Source organism: Homo sapiens, chromosome 2 (assembly GCF_000001405.40).
Source record: "Homo sapiens chromosome 2, GRCh38.p14 Primary Assembly".
Lineage (NCBI taxonomy): Eukaryota > Metazoa > Chordata > Mammalia > Primates > Hominidae > Homo > Homo sapiens.
In genome coordinates, this window is record NC_000002.12 from 136148815 (window position 1) to 136164480 (window position 15666).

The window sequence follows — 15666 nt, forward strand, 5'->3', positions numbered from 1 at the left end:
CAGCCTTGAAGGATGTAATGAAGGAATATGCTCCCAGTGAGCAGGGCTTTGAGTGGTACACCTTTGTGTGGAAGAAGAGGTGGTTCAGAGGTTAGAATATATACTAGCTCAACATCAGTGGCGAATGGCTTGGCTGGCTGTTCAGGGACCTGGGAGGAGAAAGACTGGAATATCAGGATCAAGAAAGGCTGGGGTAGACACATGTAGATGGACATTATGGGAGTAAGAAAGAAGGGGGAATATTTTTGGTTTTCATGTTAAAGCCTACTAGAGAGCATCCACCATGGCAGAGGCACTAAACAACCACGTAGACAAAATGACTTGGCCAGTTAATATCAGCCAGCCTCTGTCATCAGCTGCCCCAGTGCTGCTCCAGTGGGTCATGAATAAAGCAGCCATTGTGGTAGGGATGGAGGCTGGGAGGGAGACAGGGGTTGTGCATGGGCACAATAGCATATAAATTTGTGCTTCTCATTCCCAGAACTCTGGGACTTATGATTGAGAGATCTTGGCTCCCAAAGGGGATCATGAATACTTCTGCCAGGGTATGAAGCAAGAGTCCCATTGTACTATAAGCTATGACTGCTGCCTTCACACTGCAGGGTTCCTTGAGCCAAGAAATCAGCAGACGAGAAGAGAAGTCACCATCTTGGCACAGGTAGTTGACTCTGATCATCAGAGAGAGGTAGGGCTACTTCTACCTACTTCTATACAATGAGGGCAAGGAGGAATGTGGCACCCAGGCGATCCACTTGGATAACTCTTTGAACCCCCTTGCCCAACTCAGACAGTAGATGGACAAGTCCAGCTACTCTGGCCTGAGAAGGGCATGGTGATCAGGGACTCAGACTGCTATGAGGGTCTGGGTCATGCCACCAGGTAAGCCAGTGTGAACAACTGGCTGAGGGTGGGGGGAATCTAGAAGGGGTTGTAACAGGTGGGAAATGATGAATATTAGTTGCAGCCTGGAGATAAGCTATAGTGACAGGGACTAACCCATCTCATTAACCTTCCTTTCCTAAGTTTTCTCTGGGAATCCTCCTAGAGGAGTGGAATATGAGCAATGCAAGGGGCAGACTGGACTGGATATGTGATGCACTTTCAGATCTTCCATTAGGACTGAAGGACAAATTCCTCTTGCTGCTGGGAATGCTGCTGGAAAGATGGCTCTCAGTCCTTTTAGGGGATTGCCTTGACTGATAAACTTCCTTGACCAAGGGAAAATCTACATCCAATAGCTGACCAATGATGGGGCATATAGGTTTGGTCCCCTCACCTCTATTCAGTTAAACTTTGAGGAGCTTTTCCTTAGATCCATAGCTCCCTGGAAGATTGGCTGAGGACTTTGTTGGGATGTACCGCAGCTCGCCTTCTCTCAATCTTGCATCTCCCCTGCCCAATCTTGCTTCCTTTCTCTCCCTTTAACAAGTATTGATCCTGAGCCTATTCTCTAATACACATCTTATATACTAATCTCCACCTCAGAGACTGCTTCCTAAGGAATGCCTTCAAAATGGAATCAAACCAAAAGGCATGTTTTCGACAGCCAAGTGATTTCTTTGAGGGAAGCAGTGAATCTATTGGTGTTCAGATATGCCCTCTTCAATTCACAGGGAATGACTTCCTTAATGCACACAGAGTTGGAACTTCACCAAAACTGATGCCAATGTACTTTCCGAATTTACATCATGGCTCACGAGATAAGTGTTGACCCGACGAAAATCATCTCTTAGAGCATAGATTTTCAGTGATAAATAATGAGGTAAATAATATCTTAGAAACTAAAGAGTCTTGCAGAAGATAGTGGTGATGGTTGCATAACATTGGAAATATAATGAATGCCACTGAATTGTATGCTTAAAATGGTTAAAATGGAAAATTATGTTATTTATATTTTATATTTTACCACAATTTAAAAAAATCAATAATGTAATATACCAAAAACATTGACTTGTGTACTTTAAGTGGATGAATTGTATGGTTTATATCATTCAATTATATCTCAATGAAACTTTTTTTATATAAAAAAAGAGTCTTAAGGGGGAAAATCATCAACTGTTTCTCTTTCGTATATGTGCTCCACCAGAACTGAATTTTGTCCACATATAAAGGGTAATCTCTGCACAGACACAATACTACCTTTCTCCCACATTGCATACCATTGATATTATGCAACATCTACCAATGTTCTTTGATAAAGAAATTTTGTTGGTAGTTCTGATTCTTCTCCATAGTATTTATCATTACCTTTGTAGCTGGTTTCACAAGCTCTTTGGCAATAGCATGGCATATACTTACTTTACGATGTCTCTGTAGTGTTGTGTTTTCCATTACTTCTAGCAACAAAATTCTTCAATTTTGTATTGGGAAGCGCTTGTAATGCTTGCACTTGTTCTGGCAAAACTTTATTGTTCCATCAGAGAAGTCACCATAGAAGTCACTATACTTTGTTGGAAAATGACACTGAAACTTTTGTGGCTTCCTGCTGTTATTGAAAAACATTTTTATAACATATGCCACCCTGGAGGTCTAGGGGCAAACATATTACCATCTGATACAACCCAATTTTCAGAGTTTTCTGGTCATACTTCCTATTCTTGACTCACAGTCTTACATTTTTGTTAGCTTGTATAAGATCATCACAGTCATGTTCTTACTTCTCCCTGCAAATACTGCTTCACTGCTCTTTGTTGGTCCTTGAACCTGTTCTCTTTTTACAGTAAGATGTTATCATCTTGAGTTATAATATTTACGTTACGCTTTTCATCATCATCACTTTTGATCCACTGATACATTTTTGTAAATTAGAGATAATCACAACATTAACAACTAAAGATACAAATTCAGTAAATGAAAAGTGACATATGTTATCTGAGACAAAATACACACCATGTAAATGAATGTCAGCCTAGATGAACTGACGCATTGCTGGGGGTAACCTAAGCATTCAAGGATCTCATTTTGAGCAATCACACCCTGGTCTTTTCCACTTCCCCTTCTTCCTTTTTTCCCTTTGTTGGTCCTACCTGGACTCCTTACCTACTTCTTTCCCTCCTCGTTCTTCTGTTTCCTTTTTGAGAGTTAAGGAACATTAAAATAGAAAGAGACCTCGGAGATTTTAAAATCTAATGATCTCATTTTACAGATGAGGAAACTGAAGTCCAGAGAGATAACAATGAACTTCGCCAAGTCAGAGGGACGAGATCTGCCCTCCTGGCTTCTCTGACTCATGGGCCAATGCTTTTCCATTTTGCCACGACTCCAGTAAACTTTCTACTTCAGATTATCTTTCTGGTCCTCTTGTCGCTGACAGTGGTTGAATCCATAGTGGTTAAGAGTGAAGGAGACAGGCGTTTAAGGGAGTCATAACTTCCTCCTTTCCCTCCCTCTCCTTCCTTCCCTCCCTCCTTCCTTCCCTCTCTCCTTCCTTCCTTCCCATTTCTCCTTCTTTCCCTCCCTCCCACTACTGCCAGAATGGCCTGATAATGTCACTCTCTTCTCTACTCTTTGGTGACTCTTAAATCCCTATAGGATAAAGTTCAGTCTTCTACCTGGACATGTGACAGTCAAGTCATTTTTGTGTTCTGACTCCTGCCCTCCTGTCTGGTCCTATCTTCATCACTCTGTATATTAGCCAGGCTGGTTTATGATAATATTAACAAACAGGTCCAAAATCTCAGTGCCCTAACACAACAAAGATTTATTTCATATTTATAAAAAGTCCACTGCAAGTCTGGCTGACTTTCCAGAGGAACTATTCTTTATGTAGTGACTCAGAGATCCAGGCTGCTTTGGCCACACGATTTTTCCATTTTCACTAGATTTCCTCCTTGCCATGGAGGAGGAAGAGACAAGAAGATAGCGCTCAAGTAGGGAATGAACTCTTCTGTGCTTATCCTGAAAAGAATTTTATCAGCCAGAGTTTACCATCTAACTGCAAGAGGGCTGGGAAGTGCCAGAGAATGCTTGGTGAGGACTATGTTTCTGCCATGGTCCTTCCTTCCAACTGCAGTTCTGGAAATATCTGACTACTTGTCCCCTGAGCACAAACTCTTTTAAGCCTCTATGTCTTTCTACTGAGGCATTCCACCCTGCCAAGCATATACTCTTCTTGCTGACCTGATAGACTCTTACAAACCCAAGTCTCTATTTCTTTTTCTTTCTTTCTTTCTGTTTGAGAAGGGGTCTCGCTCTGATGCCCAGGCTGGAGTGCAGCGGCGCAATCTTGGCTCACTGCAACCTCCACCTCCCAGGTTCAGGTGGTTCTCCTGCTTCAGCCTCCCCCGTAGAAGGGATTACATGCTCTTGCCACGACACCAGGCTAATTTTTGTATTTTTAGTAGAGACGGGGTTTCACCATGTTGGCCAGGCTGGTCTTCAATTCCTGACCTCAAGTGATCCGCCCGCCTCGACCTCCCAAACTGCTGGGATTACAGGTGTGAGCCACCGTGCCTGGCCCCAAGTCTCTATTTGTAAGAAGCCATAGCTGATTTTCCCAGGCCAACATAGTGGTTCATTCTCCACGTCCCTACTGCATCTTGTCGTTATTTCCATCACAGCACTTCTTGTTTTGTTATATTTTTTTGCCTGGCACTTTTCCTCTAAAGAGAAATCTCCCTGTGGATAGGGAAAGTGTACTTTCATCTTTAGGTTCTCAGTTTTGTATGATGGTACCTAAAGTCTTCATACCTGTGGCTGAATAAATGAAAGAACAAATAAATGGCCACAAAACTCTCCAGCTTCTTGTTATGTTCTGTTTCACTACCCCTACCGTAGCTCAATCAACTTTCTTCTTCTCTTGTCTGGATAACCACAGAGCCCCCTTTGTGTTATCCCTCTTCCATTCTTACCTCTATCCAATCCATTCTCCACTCAGCAACCACATCATTCTGAAACACGAACCTGAGTGGGGCTTCCTATTTCCTTAGAATAAAATCCAAACATCCAAATTCCTTCCCATGACCCACAAGGCATGCGTTGGCCCCTGCCTGCCAATCTGGCCACAGCTCTCTCTCGCTTGCTGTGGTTCCCACACAGGGGCCTCTTCTTAGTTCCCTGACACACTAGGATTTTTCTCCCCGCAGGCTTTTCTCAGGGCTGGTTCCTGCGCCTGGAATACTCCTACTTCCTCTTCTGTCCTGGTTAGCGCTTTCTCAGTCTTTAGCTTAAATGCCATTCCTGGCCGGGCACAGTGGCTCACGCCTGTAATCCCAGCACTTTGGGAGGCCAAGGCTGGCGGATCACGAGGTCAGGATATCGAGACCATCTGGCTAACACGGTGAAACCTTGCCTCTACTAAAAATACAAAAAATTAGCCGGGTTTAGTGGCGGGCGCCTGTAGTCCCAGCTACTCGGGAGGCTGAGGCAGGAGAATGGCATGAACCTGGGGGGCGGAGCTTGCAGAGAGTGGAGATCGCGCCACTGCACCGCAGCCAGGGCAACAGAGCGAGACTCCGTCTAAAAAAAAAAAAAAGCCATTCCTCTGGCGGTTGCAATGATTTTGTTTTGATGGCAAATGAGAAACTCCCACTTGAAATACCCTAAATAATAAAGGAAATCTACCGACTCATATATCTAACAAATCCTGAAATAGTGCTGGCCTCAAGACAGGCTTCATTTATGCCTTGAAGGACCTCATAATCTCCAGAGAAAAAGAGAGACCCTTCTGGTAGTTCCTGCTGAAGTCCAGGGATTCATTCTAGCTCATTGGCCTAAACTGTATCACATGCCACAGCTAAACCAGTCCCTTTAGGAGCGGGACACTCCAGGGGGAGGCACTAAATTTGCTTAAGCCAATCAGGACACTCCCCCCGCCCCGAGAGCTGATGATGGAATTGTGCATGACCAAACAACATGGGGGCTTTGGGGAGGGTTTAACTCCCAGAGGATAGACAGTACTTTCGGCAGAAGAAGTGGGAAATAAATATTGGGAATGCATCCAAAAAGATATATTTATCATATTTTCTCAGAGGAGCCATCACTGCCCACCCCCATCTAAAGAATCCCCTCCGTTATTTTCTGTTACTGAATCCTACTTCCTTCCCTCATAGCACCTGCTACTGTTTGTAAATATTTATTTTGTTTGTTTTCTGATTTATGGTCTGAATCTCCCACTAGGCTCTGTCATTGGAAAAGATTTGATTTGCACACCTACTGCTGGAACATACGAGAAAATTCAATAAATATTTTCTTAATGAAAGAAAAAAGTGAACAATTTTCTTCTTTTCCATTTTAGCCCTGGTTTTTACTAACAGGCATGGAAGGATAAGGGTGAATGTGAGCACTATATTAATTTGGCTTTTCTTTGTCTGGAAGCTTAGTTCTCTTTCCCTTCCAGTAATCCCTCAAATTCCCTTTTCCCAGATCTCGTCTTATTACCCCACCTGCTCCAGGCACTCCGGTAATTTGGTTGTCCTTTTCATTTTTTTTTTCTTCACCTAGCTTGATTTAGAGCCTTCAATAGAAATCTTGATTTTTTTTCTTTAATTGTAGTCAAAATTATTTATTTAGATAAAATCTTCTGATTTCATAACAAAAGTAGTGGGATGATACAAACTGCATAACCAAAGAGAAATCTTGATTTTTATAAAAGAGTTAAGTTATATTTTTCCAGAGGATCTAGGGACCAAGTCTCCTCTTTTTGTGTTCCCCTAGCGCCTACAAATGTAAGGGTGTGCTTTACTGGGTGAAAAATCAACCACCCTCATGGAAAACAAGACTGAAGACAATGCCAGGTAGCAGAAAGAGAGAGGAAAAGTTAAGAGCAGGCCAAGAAAAAGAAAAAGCTGCCAGGAAAAAATAAAGGTTGGAAAACAGTGAAGTGGGAGGTCTTTTGGGTGAAAGGGACATAGCTCAAAAGAAAAAAAGTCATAATGAACTTGGAAAATGAAGATGAAATAAATCACATAATAAAAGTAGACTGGAGGAAATTTCTTTCCTTCTGATATTTATTCATTTATTTTTCAACAACTACTGAGCTCTACTGTGTGCCGGGAGCACTCTTCTAGGTGCTGAGGATATGGAGGTGACCAAAACATACAAGTCTCTGCCTTCCTGGAGCTCATATTCTAGAAGGGCAAGACAGACATTAAGTAGACATAGAATATGGACTGCTGGACACAGATGTCAGAGTGAAAACACACATCTGCTTTTGCTCCTACTTGACACATCATAGAATGCCATTAAAGGTACTTTTTGAAGGCAATACTCATGGATAAGGAAAAGGGGAGAGAAGTCAACAGTAACAAAGTTGGGAGCAGGAAGGCAAACTTGAGAAAACTACATCTTAAGTGGGCAGAAGAGAAAGGTGATTAGTGTAAACCAGGTTGACACTAATCACATTCCAAAGTACAGGAACTGGTGGCATCAGGTGAATCTGGAGTGGAGTGTGTGTGTGTGTGTGTGTGTGTATGTGTGAAGGGAGCAGGAAATAAAGACGATCAGTTGAGAATTTGTCGAAGAAGCAGTCAGCTCTCCAGACAGTCTCTTATTTCCTTGCACCCCTGCAGAGACTGGAGCTTTATTCTTTGGAGATGGCATCAGGCCCAGCTGAGAATGGAGGACTGAACACAAACAAGGGGATTAAGTGAGTGTATGCAGACTGGATGCCCCAAGAAAGATGGCATCCAGGCCTGGAACCTTCAGCAGGAGACTGGAGAAGTCTCTCTGAAGAGTCTGACCATCTCAAGAGAGAAATATCCAAAGATAAGAATATTGGGGTTTTCCAACCAAGTGGGGCAGTGTGACCACCATGTCATATAGTGAAACTCTTCACTCAAGAAGTCCCACCTGGGTATTCAGAGCTACCAGTCACCAATCAGCATTTTAGTTCCCTGTTCCTCAGATGAGCAGATGGCCAAGGATTACTAGACATCTGCACAAAGGTTCTAACAGGAAAGACAAAACGAAAACCAAATATACAGAAAAAAAAAGCAACTTGGAAGAAACAGATTATGTAAAGAGAAGAAAATTTAAAGAGGGAGAGAGAAAATTATCATTAAATGTCCAGAGAGATAAAAAAAGAGATATTGCAACAATGAAATAAGTACTGGATGCTAAAAAAATAATACTCAGAGAACTAAAAGGAGCAGTTGGAAATTAAAAATATAACAGCAAAAGTGAAAAACTCAGTAAAGGAATTGGAAAGTTGAAGAAGCTTTCCCCAACGTAGAGTGAAAAAGACAAAGAGATGGAAACGTAGGAGAGAAAAGATGAGAAAATGAGAGGAACAGTCCAGGAGGTCTAAATAATAAGGATTTCAGAAAGAGAAAAGAGAACAAAAGAGAAGGGGACAGTCAAATAAAGAATTCAAGAAAAATTCCCAGAAAGGAAAAATATGAGTTTCCAGACTGAAAAGCAGGCACCATGTACTCATCATAATTACACAATGGGTGAAAATAGTCCTATGTTCATATCATAATGTACTTTCAGAACATGGAACTAAAGAAAGAGCTTAAAACCTTGCAGAGGGCAGAAATATGCCACTTACAAAGGATCATTAATTAGAATGGTTTCAGTTCTCAATAGAAGCTTTGGGAGCAGAAATTCAATGGAGTAATGCCTTTGAAACTCTGAAGGAAAACGTTTTCAGGCCTAAGATTCTCCTTCCAGCCAAATTATAAATCAGCTGTGAGCATAGAAGAAAAGTATTTTCAGATGTGCAATGTCTCAAAAAATGTGTCTTCCATGCAGCCTTTCTCAGGAAGCTATTGGAGCTTATGCTTGGAGTAAACCAAGAACAATAAATATACTAGAGTCAGGAAACAGAATAGCCTTAGGATGATGGTGAAGAGAGATTCCAGAGTGTCATCAATGTACCAGACATATTGGGTGAACATTCTCGATTGCACCATGTCAGAAGGTGTAGTTTGGAGAGCACGGCAAGAAATTGAAATGATGGGGGATATAATAAGTATGGTATCTATTGAGAAGATTTGGGGAAATGGTGAAATTTGGGTTTCATTACTGATACGAACATTTAACTCTGAGCAAATAGGAAACAGTAAAATGAGTAACTCCAGCAAAACAGAAATAATTGGAAAGGAAAAGTAATAATGGAATTCTATATGGTTCATTGATTGCATTTGCATAGGCATAATTATGTTACACTGAATGTTAACTTATTCAAAAATACTATATATGAGGAGGACAGAGGAATGGAAAGTGTGTGCATGTGTGATGGGGCAGAAAGAAGAAAGAATCAAAACCCTTAGTTTCCATACTGAGAAATCAGTAGATAATTCCTAAACATTATTGCTTTTTTTCTCTTGTTTAGAGACTTGGAGGCAATAATAACAAGAATATCAGTTAAAGTCATTGAATGTAATGGCAAACAGGCATATGAAAATGTGCTCAACATCATTGATCATCAGAGAAATGCAAATCAAAACTATAACGAGATGTTATCTCACCCCAGTTAAAATGGCTTTTATCCAAAGGCCGGGCACGGTGGCTCACGCCTGTAATCCCAGCACTTTGGGAGGCTGAGGTGGGCAGATCACAAGGTTAGGAGATCGAGACCATCCTGGCTAACACGGTGAAACCCCGTCTCTACTAAAAATACAAAAAATTAGATAGGCGTGGTGGTGGGCGCCTGTAGTCCCAGCTACTCGGGAGGCTGAGGCAGGAGAATGGCGTGAACCCGGGAGGTGGAGCTTGCAGCCAGACGAGATTGCGCCACTGCACTCCGGCCTGGGCAACAGAGCGAGACCCCGTCTCAAAAAAAAAAAAATGGCTTTTATCCAAAAGACAGGCAATAACAAATGCTGGTGAGGATGTGAAGAAAAGGGAACCCTTGTCCAGTGTTGGTGGGAATGTAAATTACAACCACCATGGAGAACAGATTGGAGGTTCCTCAAAAAACTAAAAATAGGTTGGACGTGGTGGCTCACACTTATAATCCCAGCACTTTGGGAGGCCGAGGTGGCCAGATCAGCTGAGTCCAGGAGTTCAAGATGAACCTGGACAACATGGAGAAACCTCTGTCTCTACAAAAAATACAAAAAATTAGCTGGGCATGATGGCATGCATCTGTAAGTCCCAGCTGTTCAAGAGGCTGAAGTGGGAGGATCCCTTGAGCCTGGGAAGTGGTGGTTACAGTGAGCCGAGATCATGCCATTGCACTCCAGCCTGGGCAACAGAGCAAGACCCTGTCTCAAAAACAAACAAACAAACAAAAAACAGAAACAAAAACCCAAACCAAACCAAAACAAAACTAAAACTAAAAATAGAGCTACCATATGAGCCAGTAATCCCACTGCTGGGTATATTCCCAAGACAAAGAAAATCAGTGTATCCAGGAGATATCCACACACCTATGTTTACTGGAGCACTGTTCACAATTGCCAAGATTTGGAAGCAACCTAAGTGTCCATCAACAGATGAATGAATGAAGAAAATGTGGTACACATACACAACAGAGTACTATTCAGCCATAAAAGGAATGAAACCCTGTCTTTTCAGCAACACGGATAGAACTGGAGGTCATTAAGCTAAGTGAAATAAGCCAGGCACAGACAAACATCACATGTTCTCACTTACTTGTGGGATCTAAAAATCAAAACAATTGAACTCATGGATAGAGCGTAGAAGGATGGTTACCAGAGGCTGAGAAGGGCAGTAGGGGGATAGGGAGGAGGTGGGGATAGTTAATGGGTAAAAAATGAAAAAGAAAGAATGAATAAGACCTCATATATGATAGCACAACAGGGGGGACTATAGTCAATATTAATGTAATTGTACATTTTAAAATAACTAAAAGAGTATAATTGTTTATAACACAAAAGATAAATACCTGAGGGGATGGATACCCCATTTTCCATGATGAGATTATTATGCATTGTGTGCCTGTTATCAAAACATCTTAGGTACCCCATAGAGATATACCTACCATGTACCTATGAAAATTAAAAAAAAAAATAGTCATTGAATATAATTGGCTCTGGATAGGAAAAATGGAAGGGGTAGGAGATGGCTGCCACTCATAATGAACTTTGTAGATATAGTTGATTGTGTAAACTCTGCATGATTAACATTTAAAAAGAATAAGACCAAAATCAAGAGAAAGGAAAACACCAGAAAGAAATATAGGTTGGGTGCAGTGACTCATGCCTGTAATTCCAGCACTTTGGGAGGCCGAGGCAGGGGAATTGCTGAGCCCAGAAATTGGAGACCAGCCTGGGCAGCATAGCAAGACCCTGTCTCTACAAAATAAAAATTTTATTAAAAAATAATAAAAAAGAAAGAAATATAGCAAAATGTTAGTCATTTATCTCTGGGTTTGGGGTAATAGATTATTTTCATTTTTAAATTTTAATTTCTAAAATTGTCTACATTTCCTAAAATGAACACAGCTTACTTTCTAAAAAGCACCATATCGTCATTTATTTTAATAATATATTTTCCTATTTGGAACATTGCTCTTTTTCCTTCTATTTTTTAGTTGACATGTAATAATTGTATATATTTGTGGGATACAGAGTGATATTTCAATACATGTATATAATGTGTAATGATCAAATCAAGGTAAATAGCATATCTATCACCTGGAACATTGATCATTTCTTTGTGCTGTGAACATTTAAAATCCTCTCTTCTAGTTATTTGAAAATGTACACTAGACTGTCGTTAGTCATGGTCATCCTGCAGTGTATAGAATGCTAGAACTCATTCCTGCAATCTGGCTGTAATTTTGTATCCCTCAACCAGCCTCTTCCTATCTTCTCTCCCCTCTACCCTTCCCAGCCTCTAATAATCACAATTATTAGAGCTCTATTTCTATGAGCTCATTTTTCAAAAGCTCCCGCATATGAGTGAGAACATGCAGTATTTATCTTTCTGTGCCTGAACATTTCACTTAATGTAAATTCAGGTTCATCCATGTTGAATATGGCTTAGTTTTTAAAGCTTGAAACACCCATATTTTAGGTTAAGGGGGAGAGAGTTATAGAGAAAGATATTAGTTTTCTTTCTTTTTCTTTTTTTTTTTTTTCTTTTAAGAGACGGGGTCTCACTCTGTCACCCAGGCTGGAGTGCAGTGGCGTGATCATAGCTCACTGAAGCCCCTACCTTCTGGGCTCAAGCGAGAAAGATACTAGTTTTGATAGGAGGATTTTGGTGGGGGGTGGGGGGATTGCTAATGGTGACATTTGGCTAGATCTTTGAGGGAGCAAACCATGTGGACACTCAGAGGAATGGGTGAGAATGTGCTTGAGCCTGTGAGGAACAACAGAGGTCAGCTGTGATTGGCGTGGAGGGAAGATGGAGGTCAGACAGAGAGACCATGAGGTTAGACAGGGGCCGGGGACCAGGCCCTGTAGAACTTTATAGGACATGTTAAAGACTTCAGATTTCATTCTGACTGCTACAGAAAGCTGTTGAAGAGTGCGGAGGAGGAAAGTGCCATGATCTGATTTGCATTTTAACGCTGTGACTGCTGTGTGTCCGGGGATGGGAGCCACAGAGGGCAAGGTGGGAAGAAGCAGGCAGGACCCGAAGCTGGGAGAGCCGTCAGGAGGCTTTCGCTGTCTTCCAGATGCACGATTCTTCAGGATTAGTCACTGGTGTTCAGAAAGTTTTTATTTTAGCAACAGGAACCTTTTTTCAAAGGAAATCTTACCTTGATTTCTCATCTATAAAACATTAAAGTGAAGCACACAAGTGAAGTGGCTTTAGTTGAAGTAGGAGGTGGGGGGTCCAGAGCCTCCTGCCCCCTCCCCTCATCCCTGCTCTCTCTACCTGGTGATCCCTGGAGGTGAGCCTTTGAACCTAGAGTTCTGCTGATCACCATCTGGACACTGGTTCCACCTAGTCCCCTCCTTTCATGGAGGAGGCCAGCCATGAGAAGTGGGACTTGAGTAGGAGGGTGCTCTGTGGTAGGCAGGCCTATGAAACCTACCCCTAAAGTCTGAGGAAGCTGAGAGGCTGAAGAAAGAGGCAGACAAATGCAGTTTCTCAGAAAGACACATTTAATAGGGACTTAGGAACAGAAGCCATGTGTTGTCTCTGGTGGCGGTGCCAAGACAAGATAGTGGATCTCTGTGCCATTACCCCCTAGACCCAAGGCTCAAATATCATAGGGAAAGAATGCGTAGGACAACTTCTTAAAGGATAGGTTTATGGTGCGTACCATAACATCAAGTTTGTTTTGACCTAGGGGTAGGACTTATGGGAAGTACCGCTCCTACACAAGGAACAATAGATAAACTGGAAATCTTAGAGGCCTTCCCCAAATTGGGGTTAATCAGAAGTTAACATGGCGGATTAGCATCCAAGATGGAGTTGCTTTGGCCTCCACAGAGGGCTTCCTAGGGTTTATGTTGAGGGAAAGGAAAAAAAAATCATGCTCCATGTCCCTGTGGGGAGACAGCCTCTGTGGAGAAGGCAGAGCAATACCCTGGGATTTTCGTGCCAGCTCAGGGCAGTTCCCACTGCACCATTCTGCTTCTGGCAGCTTTTAGGTCAAGTGTAGTATGTCAGGTTTTCACTTTGTCTAGCCACCCACTTTCTCCCAAAAAGGAGACACGCTTTGACCCAACCTGAATCCAAAAGACAAGCTGGGGGGATGCAGTGGCCCAAATGAGGACAGTGGTGGGCCTCTTCTGTTGGGAGGACCTAGGCTCTAACTTTCCCCACTGGTGGCATGCTAGTAAATGTTTGATGACTGGTAGAAAGAAGGAAGGAAGGAAGGAAGGAAGGAAGGAAGGGAGGGAGGGAGGGAGGGAGGGAGGGAGAGGGGCAGGGAGGGAGGGGCCCTCTAGCACTTGCAGATTTCTGCAGTGTGAATGGTCCTGTCATGATGGATTTATTGTCACCAACATGAGGTCACTGAACTCGAAGCTGGGAAGAGATATGCACTTGCATGTCCTTATATAGTACTTCCCCCATACACACAGCAGATCAAATAACCTCACAAGTTTAGACAATAGCAAAATGCAGTAACAATGAGCAAGTGAGGACTTTTGAGTATTTATGGCCTTTTATTTAATTTATTAATGGCTGTGTTTAATAACCAGCTGTGTTTAAAAACCAGCTGGCACAATTTCTGAAACTTTAACAATCACCTCTCTCAAGCCAGTTTGAGCCATCTCTGGCTCCCCAGTGCTCCATCTCTGAAAAAAAAAATCCCTCTGAACTTCAAATGAAGAAATCCATCATGACAGGACTATTTACACCACAGAAATTGGCAAGTGCTAGAGGGCACCTCCCTCCCTTCCTTCCTTCCTTCCTTCCTTCCTTTACAAATGATACATCTATACAGAACAATAACACTCGGCAATAAACAGGGGTAATGGATATACGCAACACCTCAAATGAAGCTAAGACATTGTGCCAAATGAAGGAAGCGCATCTTAAAAGGTTTGCATAAGGTTTGACTCCATTTTTAGGACAGGCTTGCAAGATGAAACTCTCATGATGGAGAACAGATCAGTGGTTGCCAGGGGTTAGGGATGGCAGGAAGGAGTGACTCTAAAGGGGCAGCTAGGGACAGCCTTTTTGGTGTTGGATGTTCTGTGTCCTGATTGTGGTGATGACTGCCTGAATCTATATATGTTTTAAAATTTGTAGAACTATATACCCACCCAAGTCAATTTTATTGTATGATAATTTATTCTATAATAATTTTCAAAAAGAAGAAAATTAGCATATTATGAAGCCCCTTTCCCCTAAACCAAAAACAACAAACAGATAGAATATCATTATGAATAGGGCAAGTCTTTCTACCCCTTTGGACCTTTTTTGATTCCTCTGTGAAATGAAAGGCCTGGACAGTCAGGAGTTGCAGATGCTAATGCCTGTGAGGAGGCAGTGGGTAATGTAAGTGGAAGACAACAGGGAGTGGTGGGGACTGTGGAGAACTGGTGAGTTTACACCTGCCTAAGGGGAACAACCTCGGCTTCAGCCTCAGCTCAGAGTTGCTATGCTGGACTGCAGCCCTGGATGGGTAGATGTTTTGCATTTCAAAATAAGTGAGAACTCTGGATTCTTTAAAGATGAAATTTCCTTATTTGTAAGCACTACCAGAACCCAACCATGTATGTCTGTGAATTGTATTCAACTAGGAGACCACCAGTTTGCAGCCCCTGGATGGCATGTACTATACCAAACTTTTGAGCATTTTAGGTCATGACTGTAAACTCTGATAAGCAATGTACCAGGTTCTTTATCAGAGATTTGGAAGTAGTTTTGGAGGGTCTCACATCACTGAATGTAAAATCGAGACCTCTTTGTCCGACTTAAAATTTGTGCAGTTGAGGTGCTCAGTGTTATTGTGGTTGTCAGAATCCACGTGTGGGGAAGAGGACCCAGTGCTGACCTGGATTCAATGGCTCTGCCCATCCCCCCACCCTGTCCACCCTGCAGGAGCACCTGGAAATGCGTCATTTAGTCTGTTACAGATCATAGCCTCTCATAAATGGACCTGACTTCTCCGCACACATTACCAATTTCATGATGATGAGTGAGGATTGAGTCCATCTCTCATTTCCACTATGGAACCATGATTGATGAACTTAGCATACTTAGATTTACACTAAGCATGTGACAGGGAAAGGCCTGTTATAAACAGCTGAAAAATGGCATCTGAGTAGGAAGCCACACACATCCAGTGCGAGAATAGGGGGGATGGAGCGCCCGTGTGAGGGAGAGAGATGAGTCCATGGGTTGGAG